This window comes from Homo sapiens, chromosome 13 (genome assembly GCF_000001405.40).
Source record: "Homo sapiens chromosome 13, GRCh38.p14 Primary Assembly".
Classification (NCBI taxonomy): Eukaryota; Metazoa; Chordata; class Mammalia; order Primates; family Hominidae; genus Homo; species Homo sapiens.
The window spans coordinates 111,046,262-111,067,631 of record NC_000013.11 but is presented as its reverse complement, the minus strand read 5'-3'; the positions used below and the strand labels follow the sequence as shown (position 1 = coordinate 111,067,631).

The 21,370-nt window shown below is 46.0% G+C and overlaps 7 annotated features.

Moving 5' to 3' along the window:
• Nucleotides 292–351: an enhancer, noted in NCBI's record as "active region_8023". NCBI's record gives its function as "activates an Ori minimal core promoter by ATAC-STARR-seq in GM12878 lymphoblastoid cells {active_cell/tissue: GM12878}" and the evidence as "EXISTENCE:reporter gene assay evidence [ECO:0000049][PMID:35858748]".
• Nucleotides 3,053–3,583: an enhancer, noted in NCBI's record as "NANOG hESC enhancer chr13:111716396-111716926 (GRCh37/hg19 assembly coordinates)". NCBI's record gives its function as "activates a minimal SCP1, AML or CMV promoter by ChIP-STARR-seq in primed H9 embryonic stem cells {active_cell/tissue: H9 hESC(primed)}" and the evidence as "EXISTENCE:reporter gene assay evidence [ECO:0000049][PMID:30033119]".
• Nucleotides 15,191–15,690: an enhancer, noted in NCBI's record as "H3K4me1 hESC enhancer chr13:111704289-111704788 (GRCh37/hg19 assembly coordinates)". NCBI's record gives its function as "activates a minimal SCP1, AML or CMV promoter by ChIP-STARR-seq in naive H9 embryonic stem cells {active_cell/tissue: H9 hESC(naive)}" and the evidence as "EXISTENCE:reporter gene assay evidence [ECO:0000049][PMID:30033119]".
• Nucleotides 20,443–20,502: an enhancer, noted in NCBI's record as "active region_8022". NCBI's record gives its function as "activates an Ori minimal core promoter by ATAC-STARR-seq in GM12878 lymphoblastoid cells {active_cell/tissue: GM12878}" and the evidence as "EXISTENCE:reporter gene assay evidence [ECO:0000049][PMID:35858748]".
• Nucleotides 20,443–20,770: a biological region, named in NCBI's record as "Sharpr-MPRA regulatory region 12287".
• Nucleotides 20,476–20,770: an enhancer, noted in NCBI's record as "tiled region #12105; HepG2 Activating DNase unmatched - State 6:EnhF. and K562 Activating DNase matched - State 5:Enh". NCBI's record gives its function as "activates a minimal TATA promoter and a strong SV40 promoter by Sharpr-MPRA in HepG2 and K562 cells {active_cell/tissue: HepG2 | K562}" and the evidence as "EXISTENCE:reporter gene assay evidence [ECO:0000049][PMID:27701403]".
• Nucleotides 20,523–20,692: an enhancer, noted in NCBI's record as "active region_8021". NCBI's record gives its function as "activates an Ori minimal core promoter by ATAC-STARR-seq in GM12878 lymphoblastoid cells {active_cell/tissue: GM12878}" and the evidence as "EXISTENCE:reporter gene assay evidence [ECO:0000049][PMID:35858748]".

Here is a 21,370-nt window from a genome sequence, read left to right as displayed (position 1 = left end):
GCCGCCACGTCTCTGGGGCTCGGCGCAAAGCAGCTGCCCCGGGACCGCGTGAGCTAGGACGGCAGAGCCGCCGGGGAGCCGCGCACCTGCGCTGTGAACCTGGGTCCCCTGCACACCGCTTTGTTCACGGCCCGCGGCCAGGCTCCGTGCTGCGTTCCCAGGGTCGGGGCTCCGACCTCAGCAGCTCTGGCGGTCGTGATCAGCCCGGCACCTCCTAACGCTGGGTCAGCCTGTGAACCCCGATCTCACCGGGCCGCAGAGGCGCTCAGCAGCGGCAGCTTTCACCCAAGGGGACCAAGGCGGAGTCCTTCTTGTGGGAATGAAGGTCGCCCTGGTTTAAAGGCACAGTTTGCTTTTTTCCTCTCTCCTTTTTTTTTTTTTTTTTTTTTTTTTTTTTTTTTTTTTTGAGACGGAGACTCGCTCTGTCGCCAGGCTGGAGTGCAGTGACGCGATCTCTGCTCACTGCAAGCTCTGCCTCCCGGGTTCACGCAATTCTCCTGCTTCAGCCTCCGGAGTAGCTGGGACTACAGGCGCGTGCCACCACGCCCGGCTAATTTTTTGTATTTTTAGTAGAGACGGGATTTCACAGTGTTAGCCAAGATAGTCTTGATCTCCTGACCTCGTGATCCGCCCGCCTCGGCCTCCCAAAGTGCTGGGATTACAGGCGTGAGCCACCGCACCCGGCCTGTCCCCTAGCTCTGACTTCTTAACCGGCAACAACGTGGGAGACAGGTCTCCCACGAGGAACGCCTTCCCCAGAGCTCGTGGAAGGGGTGCAGGGGGCTGTGGGGCCCCTTTAAGCTCCCGCAGAAGCTCCTCCTCTGACCCCGCAGGCCCGGGGAAGCGCGGCCTCCCTTCCCGCGCCTGCAAGGGCTCTTCCGCTTAGATACTACGTTCGCTTTCTCTCGAATAAAAAAGTCCCTGTCTCCAATCTGGCCCCAGCTGCTGTGCTCGGACTGGCCTTGACTCCCCAGCGTTCTCTCCCGGAGCCTTCGGAAAGCTCCTCTTCTGTGCATAGGACCAGGGTGCCAAGTTCTCTACGCAGCACAGAACCAGAAACACCAAACGGGGCTCTGTCCTGGAAAGATGAGCACAGAGGCCAAGGCCACGCCGCTGTCAGTGGACTTAAAGAACGCGTTATACGTTTATTTACTCAGACATTCTTATTTTTTATGTTTTTAAATTGTGGCAAAATACACATAACGATTACCATTTTAACCATTTTTAGGCATTTAGGTGCATTCACATTTTTCACAATCAATAGAACATCTTCATCTTGCAAGACCGAACTCTGTCCCCCTTAAATAAGCACTCACTCCCCATTGCCCTCCCCAGCCCCTGGCATCCACCATTCCACTTTGTGTGTCTGAATTTGATTAGTCCAGGGACTAATACTGTTAGCAGCAGGGAATCCGTAGGGTCTGCAGCAACTCGATTCTTGCCTCCTCAGAGGAAAGAATTCGGCCGAGGTGCATAGTGCAGAGTGAGAGGCCAAGGCGAGTTTTAGAGCAGGACTGAGAGTTTATTAAAAAGCTTTAGAGCAGGAATTAAGGGAAGTAAAGTACACTTGGGAGAGGGTGAAGTAGGCGACTTGAGAGATCCAAGTGCAGGGTACAACCCCCCACTTTGGGTTTTATACATGGGCATGGTTCAGGGTTTCCATTTCCCCTTCCTTGACCTTTCCTTGGGGTGGGCTGTCCGCATGCGCAGTGACCGGCCAGCGCTTGGGCGGGGCCGCGTGCGCGCTGTATTACTGAAGTTGTGCACATGCTCACCTGAAGTATTTTGCCCTTACCTGTCTCGTGTTCCTGGAGGAAGGTCACACACCAGTTAAACTACATTTTACCTCTTAGTGCACAGGCCTAAGCCACCTCGCCCCACTCCTGAGATCTTATAGAAAGCTGCTGATCAGTTTCAGGTGTTTTCCAGCTATTGGGAGCCCGCCTTTCCCTGGCACAGCTGCAACCAATTACTATTTTAGAGAACCAGTTTAACCACTGCCTGAGTATCACCTGATGGTCTCCAGAGGTTCCTGGTGGGGTGGGCCCTCTCCTGCCCTGCTCATGTCTGCCTCGCCACTGACTAACAATGAGTGGAGTTCCACAGTACTTGTCTTTTTGTGACTAGCTAATTGTTTTATGTTTATTTTTAACAAAAATTCCTGGACAGTGTTTTGATAAATGATTTTCATGCAGCCTGTTTTATAAACTCCCTGGTTCTTTCTGTGATTGCTATTTTTCTCTTCCTCTCTGTTTAAATGCTTCATTCTACCCTTTCTTCCTGCTCTTGCTTCAGTGCATTTTGTTCTTCCTTTCCTATTTTTTCCTCTTTCTTCCTGTTTTCCATGATGTAACTGGAAGGCAATGTTAGAAATCAATGAGCAGCAGATCCCCCCGAGAACTAAGCACTGCAGTGGGGAAGCCACCCCAGCTTTGTTTTCCGCCACTGCAGACTCATCTGGAAGAATCAGTGTTTTTTCCTTCTCAGCCAGATGGCTGCCTTTGTGTTTCCACCATGGGCCTTCTCTTACCCATGAGAAGGTCTCTTTCCTGCTTTGAGGGAGAGGAGACCATGCCAGGTGCCATGTGGGCTGCCCTGAAGAAAACTGTATGGGCTCACTGAGGCTGCCACATGTTTTACTTTCTGAGAAGATGAGATGAGCCCTCCACATTTCAAGGCTGAGAGCAGAAATGTGACCAGGTGCTGGAGCCTCCAGGACAGTGAAGGAAGGGGTCTGGGTCCCTGCTTAGCCCTGAAGGAAAAGGAGCAGCTTCCAGAAGGCAGTAGGGATGTGGGTGCTGTGACAGGCCGTGCCAGCTTGGTCCTGCATGTGGTTAGAAACCAGGAGCCTTGGCCACCAAGTGGAACCAAAATCTCCCATCCCTGTCTTGTTCTCTTTGCATAGTGTGGACGAAAAGCGTCAAGCTCTGTAAAACATTTGAAGAGGTTTATTCTGACCAAATATGAGGGACCAATGACTTGTGACACAACCTCAGGAGGTCAGGAGAACATGTGCCCAAGGTAGTCAGGCTACACCTTGGTTTTATACATTTTAGGGGGACTTAAGACATCAATCAATACAGGTAAGGTGTACATTCGTTGGGTCAGGAAAGGTGGGACAACTTGAAGCAGGGGCTTCCAGGTCACAGGTAGACTCAAAGAATTTCTGATTGGCAATTGGTTGAAAGAGTTTTTATCTAAAGACCTGGAATCAATAGAAGGGAGTGTCTGGGTTATAATAAGGGATTGTGGAGAGCCAGGTTTTGTCATGCAGATGAAGCCTCCAGGTAGCAGGCTTCACAGAGAATAGATTGTAAATGCTTCTTATCAGACTTAAAGTCTGTGTTGATGTTAATGCTGGTCAGCTGTGCCTGAATTCCAAAAGGGCGGAAGGTATATTGAGGCATGTCCAACCCCTGCTTCCCATCATAGCCTGAACTCGTTTTTCAGATTAACTTTGGAATGCCCTTGGCATTCCAAGAAGAGGGGTTCATTCAGATGGTTAGGGGGCTTAGCATTTTATTTTTGCTTTACACCAGAAGCTTCCCTGAGGGGCCTGGGCCCTGGGCTTCAGGGCCTCTGCTCTCAGGCCTTGCCCAGAAGAATGGAAGATGCAGTGAGGGACCTGGAGGAGAGTGGACTGCTGTGTGTGGGCTTCGTGGCACACAGGGAAAAGCACAGGCTCTGGGTGAGTTTAAATCCTGGCTCTGCTGCCTGCAAGATGTAAGACTCCAGCATGTTATTTAATCTCTCTGAGCCTCTGTCACCCCATAAATAAAATGAGGTAATTTCTAGCACACAGGATCATTGACATGAATAAAATAACTGATGTTTACATGGCACTTGCTACATCAGTGGCACTGATTGCTGGTCATATAAAGCAAGGAAAAAAGATGTTTCCTCTTTTTATTCATTTCTACATCCTGCCAGTTTCCCTACACATATGCATTATAGATGACGAATAATTGAGAAAATCTGCAAGGACAAGGCTCGTATTCTTCCTGACCCATTTCTTGTTCAGAGTATAAGGTAACTTGTGCCGCACGTGTACCCAATATGCCGTGGGGTTATAGGATGTTAAATTGGACATTTACATGATACAATAAATATGACATTCCAGAGTGATGTTCTAGACCAAGATTCAAATCTTTAAGGAAGGGATTTAACCAAAAGTTGATTACATAAACATTGTTCGCATCACCCACACTTTGTTATGTGCATCTGTGTGAAGAGACCACCAAACAGGCTTTGTGTGAGCAATAAAGCTTTTTAATCACCTGGGTGCAGGCTGACTGAGTCTGAAAAAGGAGTCAGCAAAGGGAGATGGGGAGGGGCAGTTTTACAGGATTTGGGTAGGTAGTGGAAAATTTACAGTTAAAGGAGGTTTTTCTCTTGTGGGCAAGGGTGGGGGTCACAAGGTGCTCGGTGGGGGAGCTCTTAAGACTCATTGTCCAGGAGAAGGAATGTCACATGGTCAATTGATCAGTTAGGGTGGGGCAGGAACAAATCACAATGGTGGAATGTCATCAGTTAAGGCATAAACTGGCTATTTTCACTTCTTTTGTGGTTTTTCAGGTGCTTCAGGCCATGTGAATGTATACATGTAGGTCACAGGGGATATGATGGCTTAGCGTGGGCTCAGAGGCCTGACACACTTGAATTACATCCCCAATTGGGTAGAAGACCAGGAATATAGTCAGGAGTTCCATTTTGTTTAGGATAGGAAGGATGTTTCTACAGTGGAGACTGGTATCTGATTCATCATTTAGAGTAATAAACAGGTCACTCTGAAGATCATCTATAAAGCACAACTTTAGATGCTTATTACTTACAGATTCGCTTCTTAGGTACCCTACTTGGTCATCTAGGCAACTAGAAAAACAAGTTGGTTTTCTAACTGACTCAATTAGAAATAAAAGTAGGGCAACTTGATCTTTAGGAAAAGAGAGTGAGCAGAGATGGGGCGGAGCTTCACCCTCAACAGTGATGCTTGTACACTTCTGCTGAACCAGACAACAGGCAGCCCACAGCCTGCAAAGTCCTACCAACGAGGAGAGATGGACCACCAGGTGGTGACCACCGCTGCCTGCTCTAAACCCTGGGGAGGAGTGGAGCAGTGACCACCATCTGCTGTAAACCCCAGGGAGAGACGGAGCTGTGACCGCTGCCTGCCCTAAGCCCCAGGAAGAGATGGAGCAGTGTTCACCACCTGCTCTTAACCCCAGAGAGAGATGAAGCCATGATTGCCGCCCGCTCTAAACCTTGGGGAGAGATGGAGCAGTGACCACCACCTGCTCTAAACCCTGGGGACAGATGAAGCCATGACTGCCACCCACTCTAAACCTTGGGGAGAGATGGAACAGTGACCACTGCCTGCTCTAAGCCCCGGGAAGAGATGGAGCATGACCTCCGCCTGCCCTAAAGCCCAGGAGAAAGGGAGCAGTGACCACAGCCTACTCTAAACCTCGGGGAGAGAAGGAGTAGTGACCACCACCTACTCTAAACTTTGGGGAGAGATGGAGCCGTGACCGCCGCCTGCTCTAAACCGTGGGGTACAGACTAGTCGTGACCCAACCTCACAAGTGCAGGTATGGTAGGCCTGTGGGGTCAATGCAGTTCAAGGAGGTGCCTTACAGGGGCAAGCTCTGTGCCAAAGTGACCGGAAGACTAGGGCAGCCACTTGCAGGCTGGGGATAGTGAGTGAATGCTGCCACTTTTATTTGGTTCCAGGGTGAGGATGAACCCAGCCAGCCTTTCTAATTTAAGAGCCCACCTGGCTTCTCTGAGGGGTGAGCTGTGTTCCCAGAGCACTCACACCATGGCCTTCACCTCTGAGTCAGGCCCCGCACGACCAGCAGCAGAATCCAGGGACCCGCACACAAGCTGGGATATAGACTTCCTCACTTGCATTAGAACTTCGGCATTCCTAGCAAATGGGAACAGGGTTTCCAAGTCTGCATGACACGTTCTTGCTTCATGACTGTGTTCTCTGAGATGAGATTTGTGATGCATTTTTCCATAAATCAAGGGTGGAGCAGCATGCAAGCCTGGATATGCAGACACTTGACAGATGCCCATTGACTGACTGAGTGACACAGCCACATGGTGTTATTGTGGCTGGTGATGGCCAGCACCCAGAGATGGTGTGACAAGTCTGAAAATAACATGTGGCCAAGAGGAGATTAAGTGCTACGTTCCTAGTCATTCTTTTTCATATTTAAGTTATATTAGTACATTCACATGCAAAAAAATTCCCCCAAACACAAAAAGGTATATTCTTCCTTTAAGGAGGGACTTCCTCCCTCTTTCTCCACAAACACCGCCCAGTGGACATGCATGCTGCACCCTGATTTGGCCACTAAGACACAGCGCGGACACTGGGCCTCATCAGGCCCTTGGATCAACCACATTCATCTTTTTCCCTCTCAATACTCGCTATTATAAAGTATTTTTAAAACACTGGAAAGTACACAGGACATAAAGAATAACTGTGTACTCGTTACCCATCTAAGCAAATCAATATTTTACCATGTTTACTTAAGATATTCCTTTAAATAAAAAAACACTTCACACAGCTGAAGCCCCTTAAAGTGCCCTTCTCTGATCCCAATTTTCTTCCCGTCCTGTCTCCCAGACACAGCTACTATTCTGAAGTCTGGGTGTATTAACCCCAAGCAAATGTTTGCTTTTATGTTTGATAGCACACGTGTGTATGTATGTGTATATATATCCATAAATAATATACAACAGGAGTCAGCAAGTTTTTTCTGTGAAGGATCAGATCATGAATATTTTAAGCTTTGTAGGCACGTGGCCTCTGTCATAACTCAACTCTGCCGCTGTGTGTGAAAGCAGCCACAGACAATATAGAAACAAATGATCATGTGCAGCTATGTTTCAATAAAACTTTATTTACACAAATAGGCACTGGCCCTCAGGCAGTAGTTTGCCAACCACTGATATACAGTATTTTTTACATTAAAATTTTTTCAAATAAATGATGTCACACTGTGTATGTAATTCTACAATGGTTTCCCCCCACTCAATGTAATATTTCAGGAGTTTATTATATATGTGGATAGATGTGGCTCTTGCTACTTCACTTATTTATTTGTTTCTGAGATAAGATCTTACTCTGTCACCAAGGCTGGAGTGCAGTGGCACAATCATAGCTCACTACAGCCTCAAATTCCTCGGCTCAATTGATCCTCCCATCTCAGCCTCCCAAGTAGCTAGAAGGTGTGAGCCACCATGCCTGGCTTATTTGTGTGTGTGTGTGTAGAGATTGGGGCTTGCCCTGTTTCCCAGGCTGGTCTTGAACTTCTGGCCTCAAGTGATCCTCCTGCTTCAGCCTCCCAAAGTGCTGAAATTACAGGCATGAGCCGCCACACCTGGCCTGTTCTTGCTATTTTAACTTATAGTCTAATGGTAAATGAATATTTCACAGCTTATTTTTTTATTCTTTTATTGAGGAAATTCGGATTGTTCTCAAGTATCTCCGTTAGAAAAACTGCTAACAATGGTTTTAATTTCCAAGCTTTTAATTTTGTTACCAATGTTTTAGAATTATTTTACTGTTCCTGCATACAGTTCCATGGTGGGATCTCAGCTGCAGCCCTGTGGATGCCACTTTCTGCTCTTTATTTCTGAGCCAGGAGAGATGATCATGATTTTGAAACTTGCGATGTCTTTCCAGTATTCTCTTTGTATATTTTATATCTTTGCTATGTGCTTGGAGCCAAGGAGTTGTCTCAAAACTTAAATTTCCAGAGCTATATTGATTTGGATTCTTTGTGTTCGATATGAGTTCTAAATTTCTCTTCAAAGAAACAATATGTCACTATGTTCAATTCTTTGCCTTCTACTTTTAAAGTTAACTTCCTCGTAAAGCAACCTGTTTCGATTACCTGCTCCACCCTGACTCATTCCGATTTCCTGCTCTGCCATAACAATTTTTCCCACCAAACCACTCATTCCATCACTCTCTTTAAATTAGCCAGTCGGAATTAGTATAGCCTGTGTGGTCTAACCCTAGCCAATAGGGGAACGACACGGCAGCAGGGGCTGTGTCCGTCAGGGATAAAACCCCTTCCCCTCCCTTGTCCAAGTATGTGCTCACCATTGCTCCATTTGTAAGGGTGCACCCTTCTACAGAAGTACATTGCCTTGCTGAGAATTAAAAAGAAAATTTGATATTCGAGTGCTATTTCTTTTGTGGCACCGAAACTTTACTTATAACAACTGTCCTTGTACATACTAGTCAGTTCCACTGTGGTACATCATGTGCATTCCTAGAAGCCACCACACTATGCAGGATCATGCCTTAAAAACCACAGAGGCTATGGGAAGAGTGGGGTGAGAGGCAGAGCACTCAAATGCATGAGCAGTGACATTAAAAAAATGAACCTGACAATGGAGTACGGGAAAAACAGCAGATAGGAGGCAGGACTAACTTGCAGCTCCCACTTGGATGGACGGAGCAGCATGTGGAGACCCACACTGTGAACTTTTGCTCCAGGAAGTACTGCAGGAACATACCAGGAAAGCCAAGAGAATCCACAGACCCTTTGAAGGAGGTGGATTGCTGCTCCAGGCTCTGGGACAGCCAAGGAAATGTGAGTCTGCTTGCTTTCTCAGCAGGAGGCTTGTAGCCTGGGGCAAGTTCTCAGCCCTGCTCACACTCCAACCCTGGGGCATGGTGGAAGTGAGACTGGCCTTTTGGGCTGTGGGCTGCATGAGAGCTGGGTGAGTCCTGTGGCTGCTGGCTTCCTCCCACTTCTTTGGCAACCTGTGTGACGCAGTAGAGGCAGCCATAATCCCCCTGGGAACAAAACTGCATTGGCCTGGGAGCCGTACCACCATCACCCACAGCATCTGCAGCAAGCCCCACCCAAGGAGAGTCTGAGCTCAGACATGCCTAACCCTGCCTCCACCTGATGGTCTTTCTCTACCCACCCTGGTAGCTGAAGACAAAGGACATAATCTCTTGAGAGCTCCATGGCTCCACCCACCACCTGATCCTCCCTATACAATCACAGCTGATGCACTCTTGAAAGCACCACCTCCTGGCTGGAGGCCAACAAACAAAACCAGCTCACTTAACAAAAATACAACCAAAGACCCTCACAGAGTCCACCTCAGTCTCCTGCTCCCTCCACCAGAGCAGGTGCTGGTATCCACAGCTGAGAGACCTGAAGATGGAGCACATCACAGGACTCTGTAGACACCCCACAGTACCAGCCCAGAGTCCAGTAGCTCAGCTGGGTGGCTAGATCCAGAAGACAAATAACAATCACTGCAGTTCGACTCTCAGGAAGTCCCATCACTAAGGGGAAAGGGGAGAGCAGCACATCAAGGGAGCACCCCCATGGGACAAAAGAATCTGAACAGCAGCCCTTGAGTCCCAGATCTTCTCTTTGAACCTATCAGATTAACAGCAGATTTCTCAGCAGAAATCCTACAAACTACAAGGAATTGGAGTTCTATCTTTAGCCTCCTTAAACAAAACAATTATCAGCCAAGAATTTTGTATCCAGTGAAACTAAGCTTCATGCATGAAGGAAAGATACAGTCTTTTTCACACAAACAAGTGCTGAGAGAATTCACCACTACCAAATCAGCACTACAAGAACTGCTAAAAGGAGCTCTAAATCTCAAAATAAATCCTTGAAATACACCAAAATAATCTCCTTAATGCATAAATCTCACAGGACCTATAAAACAATAGCACAATGCAAAAAAATAAAAAAAGATATTCAGGCAACAACTAGCATGATGAGTAGAATTGTATCTCGCATCTCAGTACTAACATTGAATGTAAATGGCCTAAATACTCCCTTAAAAGATACAGAATAGCAGAATGGATAAGAACTCACCAACCAAGTATCTGCTGTCTTCAAGAGACTCACCCAACCCATAAGGATTCACATAAATGTAAGGTGAGGGGGTGGAAAAAGATATTCCATGCAAATGGACACCAAAAGCAAGCAGGAGTAGCTATTCTTATATCAGACAAAACTTTAAAGCAACAGCAGTTTAAAAAGACAAAGAGGGACATTATATAATGATAAAAGGATTCGACCAAAAGAAAAATATCACAATCCTAAAAATATATGCACCTAACACTGGAGCTCCTAAATTTATAAAATAGTTACTACTAAACCTAAGAAATGAGACAGCAACACAGTAATAGTGGGGGACTTCAATACTCCAATGTCAGCACTAAACAAGTCATCAAGACAGAAAGTCAACAAAGAAACAATGGACTTAAACTATAGCCTAGAACAAATGGACTTAACAGACATTTACAGAACATTCTGCCCAACAACTGTAGAATATACATTCTATTCATCAGCACATGGCACATTCTCCAAGACAGACCATATGATAGGCCACAAAACAAGTCTCAGCAAATTTAAGAAAACTGAAATTATATCAAGTACTCTCTCAGACCACAGTGGAACAAAATTGGAAATCAACTCCAAAAGGAACCCTCAAAACCATGCAAATACATGGAAATTAAATAACCCCCTGCATGATCTTTGGGTCAACAATGAAATCAAGAAGGAAATTTAAAAATTCTTTGAACTGTACAATAACAGTGACACAACCTATCAAAACCTCTGGGATACAGCAAAAGCAGTGCTAATGTTACCAGGGGGTCCTTGCTCCCAGAACTCCCAAGACGGTGGTGAGCTGCTTCCAAGATGGTGGCAAGCCTCTTGTTCTCTGACCTGGAGTTCTTAGCCTCACGGATTCCAAGGAATGGAATCTTGGGCCATGCAGTGAGTGTTATAGCTCTATTAGAAGCCGTGGGTCATGGAAGAGAACCGTGGAACCCAGTGACAGGTGTTCAGCTCAATTAGGATGAACCCGGGCACTTAGCCATGCAGGAACAATGGCAAGCCTTTAGCCCAATTGGGAGTGGCAATGGGCACCTCACTGGATCAGGAGCACAGCGGACACCCTGCCGGATCTGGAGAGATGGAAGTCAGCAGTGGGTCTGTGATGGTGGCAAATAGCAGCAGTGGATGGCAAGTGAAAGCTCAGCTTGAGCTGTAACTAGCACGGACCAGAAGACTGTGCAGTTGCAAGATTTAATAGAGTGAAAACAGAGCTCCCATACAAAGGGAGGGGACCCAAGAGGGTAGCCATTGCGGGCTTGAATGCCTGGGTTTATATCCTGATCATTGTCCCTCCCACTGTGCTCTCAGGTGATAGATGATTGGCTATTTCTTTACCTCCTGTGTTTGCCTAATTAGCATTTTAGTGAGCTTTCTTTCCCTACCTGATTGGTCAGGTGTGAGCTAAGTTGCAAGCCCCATGTTTAAAGGTGGATGCAGTCACCTTCCCAGCTAGGCTTAGGGATTCTTAGCTGGCCTAGGAAATCCAGCTAGTCCTGTCTCTCACTAAGAGGAAAGTTCACAGCATTAAATGCCTATATCAAGAAATCTGAAAGAGCACAAATATACAATCAAAGGTCACACCTCAAGGAACTAGAGAAACAAGAACAAACCAAGCCCAAACCCAGAAGAAGAAAAGAAATAATGAAGATCGGAGCAGATCTAAATGAAATTGAAACCAAAAAATACAAAGGATAAATGAAACAAAAAGATAATTCTTTAAAAAGATAAATGAAATTTATAGACCATTAGTGAGATTAACCAAGAAGAGAGAAGATACAAATAAGCTCAATTAGAAATGAAATGGGAGATGTTACAAGTGATAACACAGAAATACAAAAGATCATTCAAGGTTACTATGAACATCGTTATGCACATAAACTACAAAACCTAGAGGAGATGGAGAAATTCCTGGAAATATACAACCCTCCCAGATTAAACCAGGAAGAAATAGAAACTCCGAACAGACCAATAACATGCAGTGAGATTGAAATGATAATTAAAAAGTTACCAATAAAAAAAGTCCAGAACCAGACAAATTCACAGCTGAATTCTATCAGACATTAAAAGAAGAATTAGTACCAATCCCATTGACACTATTCCAAAAGATAGAGAAAGAGGGAATCCTCTGTAAGTCATTCTATGAAGCCAGTATCACCCTAATACCAAAACCAGAAAAGGGCATAACAAAAATAGAAAACTACAGACCAATATCCCTGATGAACATAGATGCAAAAATCCTCAATAAAATACTAGCTAACTGAATCCAATAGCATATCAAAAAGATAACCCACCATGATCAAGTGAGTTTCCTACCAGGGATGCAGGGATGGTTTAACATATGCAAGTCAAATGCCATACACCACATAAACAGAATTAAAAACAAAAATCACATGATCATCTCAATAAACACAGAAAAAGCATTTAACAAAATCCAGCATCCATTTGTGATTAAAACCCTTAGCAAAATTAGCATAGAGGGGAAATACCTCAAGGTGATAAAAGCCATCTATGACAAACCCACAAGCAGCATTATACTGAATGGGGAAAAGCTGAAGGCATTCCCCCTGAGAACTGGAAAAAGACTAGTATGCCCACTTTCACCACTACTATTCAACATAGTACTGGAAGCCCTAACCAGAGCAATCAGACAAGAGAAAAAAAAAAGGGGCATCCAAATCGGTAAAGCAGAAGTCAAACCGTCACTGTTTGACTTTAGGGTCATCCAAAAAGCCCTAGAGACTCATCCAAAAAGTCCTAGAACTGGTAAATTAATTCAGTAAACTTTAGGATACAAAATTAATGTACACAAATCAGTAGCTCTGCTATTCACCAACAGCAACCAAGCTGAGAATTAAATCAAGAACTCAACCCCTTTTACAATAGCTGCAAACAAAATACTTAGCAATATACCTATTCAAGGAGGTGAAAGACTTCTACAAGGAAAACTACAAAACACTGCTGAAAGCAATCACAGATGACACAAACAAATGAAAACATATCCCATGCTCATGGATGTGTAGAATCAATGTGAAAATGACCATATTGCCGAAAGCAATCTACAAATTCAGTGCAATTTCCATCAAAATACCACCAGCATTCTTCACAGAACTAGAAAAAACAAACCTAAAATTTATATAGAAACAAAAAAGAGCCTACACAGCCAAAGCAAGACTAAGCAAAAAGAACAAATCTGCAGGCATCACATTACCTGACTTCAAAATATACTATAAGGGTATAGTCACCAAAACAGTATGGTACTGGTGTAAAAATAGGCATATAGATGGAAGGAACAGGATAGAGAACACAGAAATAAAGCCAAATACTTACAGCTAACTTATCTTCAACAAAACAAACAAAAACATAAAGTAGGGAAAGGACACCCTATTCAACAAATGGTGCTGGGATAATTGGCTAGCCACATGTAGGAGAATGAAACTGGATCCTCATCTCTCATGTTATATAAAAATCAACTCAAGATGGATTAAAGACTTAAATCTAAGACCTGAAACCATAAAAATTCTACAAGATAACATTGGAAAAACTATTCTAGACATTGGCTCAGGCAAAGACTTTATGACCAAGAACCAAAAAGCAAATGCGACAAAAACAAAGATAAATAGATGGGACTTAATTAAACTAAAAAGCTTCTGCACAGAAAAATAAATAATCAGCAGAGTAAACAAACAACCCCCAGAGTGGAAAAAATCTTCGCAATCTATATTTCTGACAAGGACTAATATCCAGAATCTACAAGGAACTCAAACAAATTAGCAAGAAAAAACAAACAATCCCATCAAAAAGTGGGCTAAGGACGTGAATAGACAATTCTCAAAAGAAGATATACAAATGACCAGCAAATATATGAAAAAATGCTCAACATCACTAATTTTCAGAGAAATGCAAATCAAAACCACAATATGATACCATCTTACTCCTGCAAGAATGGATATAATCAAAACATGAAAAAAAAAAAATAGATGCTGGTGTGGATGTAAAAGGGAACACTTTTACACTGTTGGTGGGAATGTAAACTAGTAAAACCACTATGGAAAAGAGTGTGGAAATTCCTTAAAGAACTAAAAGTAGATCCACCATTTGATCCAGCAATCCCACTCCTGGGTATCTACCCAGAGGGAAAGAAGTCATTATACAAAAAAGATACTTGCACATGCATGTTTATAGCAGCACAATTCTTAATTGCAAAAATATGGAACCAGCTGAAACACCCATCAATCAACGAGTGGATAAAGAAAATGTGGTATATGTATAACATGGAATACTACTCAGCCATAGAAAGGAATGAAATAATGGCATTTGCAGCAACCTGGATGGTATTGGAGACCATTATTCTAAGTGAAGTAACTCAGGAATAAAAAACCAAACATCATACGTTCTCACTCATAAGTGAGAGCTAAGCTCTGAGGATGCAAAGGCCTAAGAATGATATAATGGACTTTGGGGGCTCAGGGGAAGAGGTAGGAAGAGAGTAAGGGACACAAGACTACACATTGGGTACAGTGCACACTGCTCGGGTGATGGCTGCACCAAAATCTAAGAAATCACCGCTAAAAAAACTTATTCATGTAAAAAATTAATAAATAGAAAAAAATTAGCCCAATAAAAACATGAACAGCTTTACACACATTAAATGGTTAAGAAATACATAAGAGCTACAGAAAAAATACCAGTTTACCGTGAAAAAGCCCTGATGTTTTTTTGTGGAAGTGGGTGATAGGGGTGGCTGCCTGTGACCATTGTGAAGTGTGGGGGCAGTTACCTGCTATCACATGGAAAACCGTGTAGGGGAAGAAAAACACCTGTTTCTTCTAACCGTCTTAGGTTCATCATCTGGGCCCCTGCAACAAAAGACAGATTGCCAAGAGAACAGCATATACACTGGTTTCATATAAGCTGTTTGTGACTCATGAGCCTTCATAGGTAACTGAAGATCCTAGCTTTCGTGAAGAGTGGAAAGCCATGGGAAAATGTGATAGGACTAAAAAAGTATGAGCTGAGTGTAGCAAACTGTGGAAAGCAAAGCCTGTTTCTTCAGATTTCCCTTGGTGTCCCTCCAGATACAGGGAGGGCCCCTCTCACATGAGGGTCTCGTGACCTGCTTCTCACATGAGGGTCTCGTGACCTGCTTCTCACATGAGGGTCTCGTGACCTGCTTCTCACATGAGGGTCTCGTGACCTGCTCTCACATGAGGGTCTCGTGACCTGCTTCTCACATGAGGGTCTCGTGACCTGCTTCTCACATGAGGGTCTCGTGACCTGCTTCTCACATGAGGGTCTCGTGACCTGCTTCTCACATGAGGGTCTCGTGACCTGCTCTCACATGAGGGTCTCGTGACCTGCTTCTCACATGAGGGTCTCCTGACCTGCTTCTCACATGAGGGTCTCGTGACCTGCTTCTCACATGAGGGTCTCGTGACCTGCTTCTCACATGAGGGTCTCGTGACCTGCTTCTCACATGAGGGTCTCGTGACCTGCTTCTCACATGAGGGTCTCGTGACCTGCTTCTCACATGAGGGTCTCGTGACCTGCTCTCACATGAGGGTCTCGTGACCTGCTTCTCACGTGAGGGTCTCGTGACCTGCTTCTCACGTGAGGGTCTCGTGACCTGCTTCTCACGTGAGGGTCTCGTGACCTGCTTCTCACATGAAGGTCTCGTGACGTGCTCTCACATGAGGGTCTCGTGACCTGCTTCTGGGGAAGGTCAGAAAATTCTTCCTGCATCTGCCACCTGAAAATATTCGACTGGAAATACCCAGTGTGCCAGGCACCCCAGTGTGTGGGTAGTAATAGCCAGTGTGCCAGGTGCCCCAGTGTGTGGTAGTGTGTCCTGACCCTGTCCGTTGTAACACAGACAGGGCGGGGTGGCTCATAACACCTGCGGCGGGCTGAGGGGGCTGGCGAACGCTTGAGGTACGAGCACGTGTGTGTTTTGTATTCCCACTTTCACCTAGTGCTTCTAGTGGATGAAATCACACAGAAACAAATGCATATCTTGCATTATGCTCAAAATGTTTTCTAATACTTCAAATGTGCTGGGAAAAACTTACATTTTCTAAACAAGTACTCCAGCAGCACTGACCAGCTGCCTGCCAGCTGCGCTACAGTCCCCACCCTCCTGGCGTCTCACCAGGCAGAGACCTCCTGGAGGCAAAAGGGGTAGACAGGGAAGAGATGCGACCCCTCTCTGTTGGAAATCCTCAAAACTTCTCTCTATGCTCTTCCCTTAATTTGTTCTTGTGGGCAAGAGAGATGTAGGAGTGTGTCACACACGTGTATGAATGTGTGCATATGCCTGTGTGTGAATGTGTGTGCATATGCCTGTGTGTGCATGCATGCGTGTGAGTGGGTGCATATGTCTATGTGTGCATGCATGATGTGTGTGAGTGGGGGCATACATTTGCACATGCATGCATGTGTGTGAGTGAGTGCATATGTCTATGTGTGCATGCATGCATGTGTGTGAGTGGGTGCATGGGTTTGCACATGCATGCATGTGTGTGAGTGGGTGCCTATGTCTATGTGTGCATGCATGCGAGTGGGTGCATATGCCTGTGTGTGCAAGCATGTGTGTAAGTGGGTGCCTACCTTTGCACATGCATGCATGTGTGCACACACACATGAGCTGCTGCATAGATACATGAAGAAGAACTGGGCCACCATGAGCCCTGGCATCATGGAAGCTGTTAGGAGAGAGCCTCCCTTCCTCTCGGAGGGCCCTGTGGTGACCTTGCTTATGGCCTGAGTGGGCAGAGAGGTGCCTGGTCTTTAAGGGCTCCTGCACAGCAGGACAGATGACCTGACAGAGCGATGACCGTGAGAATGAGGCCTCTGATGGGTGACAACGTTTCCTGGTTTTCTATCCAGGAGGCTGATTTTTTGGCCTGAGGTGTCTGGACATATCACAGAAGGTAGACCCTGAGGACAAAAGTCAGACATTTCCAGAATCGAGAGATGAGGGCTTAGGGCCACCCTTATTTAATAACAAAAGGACTGTGACCTTGTTCTATAACCCAGGCTGGCTGAGGAATGTTTAGCAAACTGAACACACTTTGCTTCCCCAGTTCCCGTCGTTGTAGACAGAAACCTGTTTGCTTCCTCTGTAGGTTCTGTGTTTCCAGTGAGTAGGATCTTGTTAGAGGCTTCATTCATTCATAGCCACAACAAATGTCCAAGTCCCCCCAAACTGCCCCAGTTTTCTAAGTGAGTGAGTTTCCAAGTTCCTGGAACTTGGAGTCAGAATAAAAGGTGAGCCACCAGAGGGCACCCCAGGCATAATTAAATTGCTCAGGAATTCTCCCCCCTTCCCCACTGCGCACCCCAATTCTGAACTGGATGGCTGGCAACCCGCCAAGGGTAGGTCTGGTCAAATGTGCAGTTAGAGGTCAGTGCTGGTGCGGCCCCGCCCCAGCTCCACACCCCTCCCCAGCTCCAAAACCCCTCCCCTGAGTGTCCTTCGGTTTTTCCCGCAACCTCGGCCTCTTTGCACCCTACCACCCCTACTCCACACACATGAACAGGTGCACACAACGCACACACCTGCACACACACGCACACACATGCATGTGCACACACACACCCCTGTAATCCTGCCCTTCCGCCTCCATCTCCAGGGGACAGGACCAAAGCGAGTACGGTTTCTCTCATGGTCCCCTCATCACCAGTGCTCTTTGGGTCAAAGAACCAGGCAGCCCAGCCTTGTCCCCTCGGGCAGCTTGATGTCATAAGAGGAAGATGTGGAGAAGCTGCGGGGGCCTCGCAGCCTCTGCAGAAGTGGTAGGGGCCGCTGTATCAACCAAGATGCGGCAGCCTACGAGCCTGAAGTCAGGTGCAGAGACCAAGACGACCTGCAACTCCATTTGTTCCATAGAGCTGTGCTTAAAATTGCCAATTTTCTCAAAATTGGTGAGAAGTCTAATGCAGCCCTGCCTTAGAAATGTGTATGGTGACTGGCCCCAAACACTCTGTCATCCTTGCCCATGGCTAGCCTGGCACCCAGTAATTCCACATGGACCCTTTTGCTGTGGAAGCCCACGTCACAGCACTGAGGCCAGCTGAACCTGACTGTGACTGGACGGGACCGCATTGTTCTATACACATGAAACTTGCAAATACCGGGATGCTGCTGCATTGTCCCCGGGGTGACATGGGGCTGGGAGTCAGTTGCAGAGAGATGACCCTTCAGGCCACGTGTGGGTGAAACCACTCACAGAGGGCCAGGCGCGGTGGCTCACGCCTGTAATCCCAGCACTTTGGGAGGCTGAGGCAGGCGGATCACTTGAGGTCAGGAGTTCAAGACCAGCCTGGCCAACATGGCGAAACCCCATCTCTACTAAAAATACAAAAATTAGCCGGACTTGGTGGTGCACGCCTGTAGTCCTAGCTTCTCAGGAGGCTGAGCAGTAGAATCACTTGAACCTGGGAGGTGGTGGTTTCAGTGAGCCAAGATCATGCCACTACACTCCAGCATGGCCAACAGAGCGAGACTCCATCTGAAAAAAAAACAAAAAAACAAAAAAACCCACTCACAGAGACCAAGTGGAATGGGAAATGTGAGAAGAGAACAGAGCTCAAGGAACGAGGCCGTTGAAGTCCCAAGTCCTCCACATGCAGCAGGGCCCTCACTGGTGAGAGTTCCCCAAGAGGGAGGCGAACAGGGTAGACAAACTCCAGGGCTGTGCAGTGAAGCCTTCTTTCTTTTGAAAGGATTTTCTGCAGTTGCCTTCCCTGGAATACTTAGGCTTAAGTTTACATGGGGCTGGTCAATTTGCTTACAAAGACCCATAGCTGTTTTCCATCATATTTCTGTAGGTGGTATTTAATGAAATTTCTCCATGATGCTTCTAGGAGCTGATATTGTGGAGTATGTCCCTACACCTACATCATTTCTACTTCTGCTGAAAATGTTTTGACAAGGATGTGCTCACTGATGGACATGCATATCCTTTTTATGGACTGGACATTGCTGCATGTCGACTTATCACTACCACTCTTCATGTGGACGCCTTCCACAAACACGCCATCTCTCCCACCTGGCTAGCTGTGCCTTCTGCTGTTTGAGAGTGTGTGCGTGGAGCAAGCTGAGGTAGCAAGGTGCCAGAGCTAGCCCACGGGGCCAGAGCTAGCCCACGGTACCAGAGGTAGCCCACAGGAGCTCTGCCCTAGATCCTCTTTCCAGGTTTTCAGGGAGTGACTCTCTGCATCCCGACCTGCCCCAGGGCACTGCCTGGTCCCTTGTCTACTGTCCTCCCTGACTCACGTGGGAGCCAGTCTGTTCCCCTACAATGACTTTGCCATTCTAGAAAGAACCTTAAAATTAATTTTATCTAAAGGGAAAGAAAAAGACCCTCAGTCCTCTCAATTTTATTAGGAACTTATTGATTTAAAAAATAAATACACTGTCCTCTTTTTCTGATGAAGACAGAGAACCACAGGACTCCACTTTTCTGAGGCTCGTTCTTGTTCCAGCATCAGCATGTTTACCTGGGTCTCCCTAACTGTACATATTGTGAAACACAAATCCTATTCCTAAGAAAGAGGGAAAGCTGAAGACTTTTCAGAAACTTTTTTTTTTTTGAGATGGAATTTTGCTCTTGTTGCCCAGGCTGGGGTGCAATGGCGCGATCTCGGCTCACTGCAACCTCTGCTTCCCAGGTTCAAGCGATTCTCCTGCCTCGGCCTCCTGAATAGCTGGGATTACAGGTGCTTGCCACCACGCCCGGCTAATTTTTTTGTATTTTTAGTAGAGACGGGGTTTCTCCATGTTGGTCAGGCTGGTCTTGAACTCCCAACCTCAGGTGATCTGCCCACCTCAGCCTCCCAAAATGGTGAAACTCATATTTTAAATAACAAAGTAGAGAAGATATAGACACAGAGCTTAGATTCATCATGCCATACTTTGCATTTTCTTACCTCATTTCTATGTTTACAACCAGATTTTGACAATGAATTGGTATTTTCCTGTACATAGATAATAGATATTATTTTCTATTTCATGTACAGTCAATTCATGAACAAAAGCAACCAAAGTGGTGACTGGGCTTGTGTTCTGTTGTCTGTTTACTTAGTGATCATTTAACGAGTCCTGATTGAGGACCTACTGCATGCTGAGTGCAGAGCCAGAGCTGTGGACAAGACAGTGGGCGAGGTGGCCCAGCCTGCGGGGCTGTGGACTAGAGGGTGGGCGAGGTGGCCTGGCTGTGCCCTCACCAGCCCATGTTTTACTCCCATTGTGCCTTGCACTTCCCTTTTCAGTTCTCACTTTTCTTTTCTTATTTCTCGTGTAAATTAAGTGTCTTAAAAATTAATAATATTATGTCATATTTTATGTAATCTGAGGCAATTCACTACTTCCTGGTCTTCAGTTTATTTTAATGCAAGAGTTAGCAAGATAATTTCTGAATTTGACTGTAGAATCATCTAGGGGCATCTTGGATCATTTATTTCATATTTGATATGAAATGCAGTTGCATAAATACAGGTGACTGGACAAGTAAAGAGATTCAATGCAGTGGTTTCCATTTTATGGAGCAAGAAGGAAATAGCAAATAAACTGTTATAATCAACATCTTTCAGTTTCAAATTTCTGCTTACTCTTAAGGCAGTGAGATGAAGTAAAAGATGGCTGAGCCCTGTGCTGCCACAAGGGGAGCTTAAAAGGGGTGAGTCATTGTCATGTGGACTTCGTTCTAAAAATATGGGGTGACACCCCCACATCAAAACAAAGAGACCCAGTAAATAGAGAAAACGGAAGCACCAATGAAGTCATGTCTCTGAATCTTCTCTCAACACATACTTGAGGAAGAAAGTGCACCAAGTGTTCCAAGGTGACCTAAGTTAACCGGGGGCTGTTTGGGGTCTTAGTGAAGAATCCTAAAACATGAATGGAAGGGTCATGTGCCAGGGATGTGGGAGTGAGAGCAGCTGCGACAGCTGCAGCTTATGATGGGACAGCTGTCCCACCAGAACCAAGTCTGCAGAGGCCCAGGAGGTGCCCCTGTTGCACGTGGTCCCGTTGAGCAAGAGCAGGACAGCAGGATGGGCCAGAGCCATGGCCGGTAGTCAGAACCACACCACCAGCTGCAAACACAAACCCAGTGAGCGGACCCCTGGTGCTCGCACCGTGTTCAATAATATCATTACTCTTTAGATGGCTCTTCTATTCCACAGTGCTTCTGAGAGCATAGTTTGTGTACTACGTTATGCTGGGAACAGCCAGGGGTAGGAGGGGGTTCTGTTGGCTGCTGAGTGTGTCTGTTTCACTTATGCTCCCCAGACCTGGGGAAGGAGCCACAAGATGGGGATCTACTGGGCCCGCTGGGAGACAGACTGGAGCTAAGGCTTCAGTGACCACCTGACCTCCATAAGCCCCTACTCTGATTGGGGGCCACAGACATTTTGGTCCTTCTGGAATCAGAGTCAGTTAAGAACCAGAGTCCAATAGCCCTGGA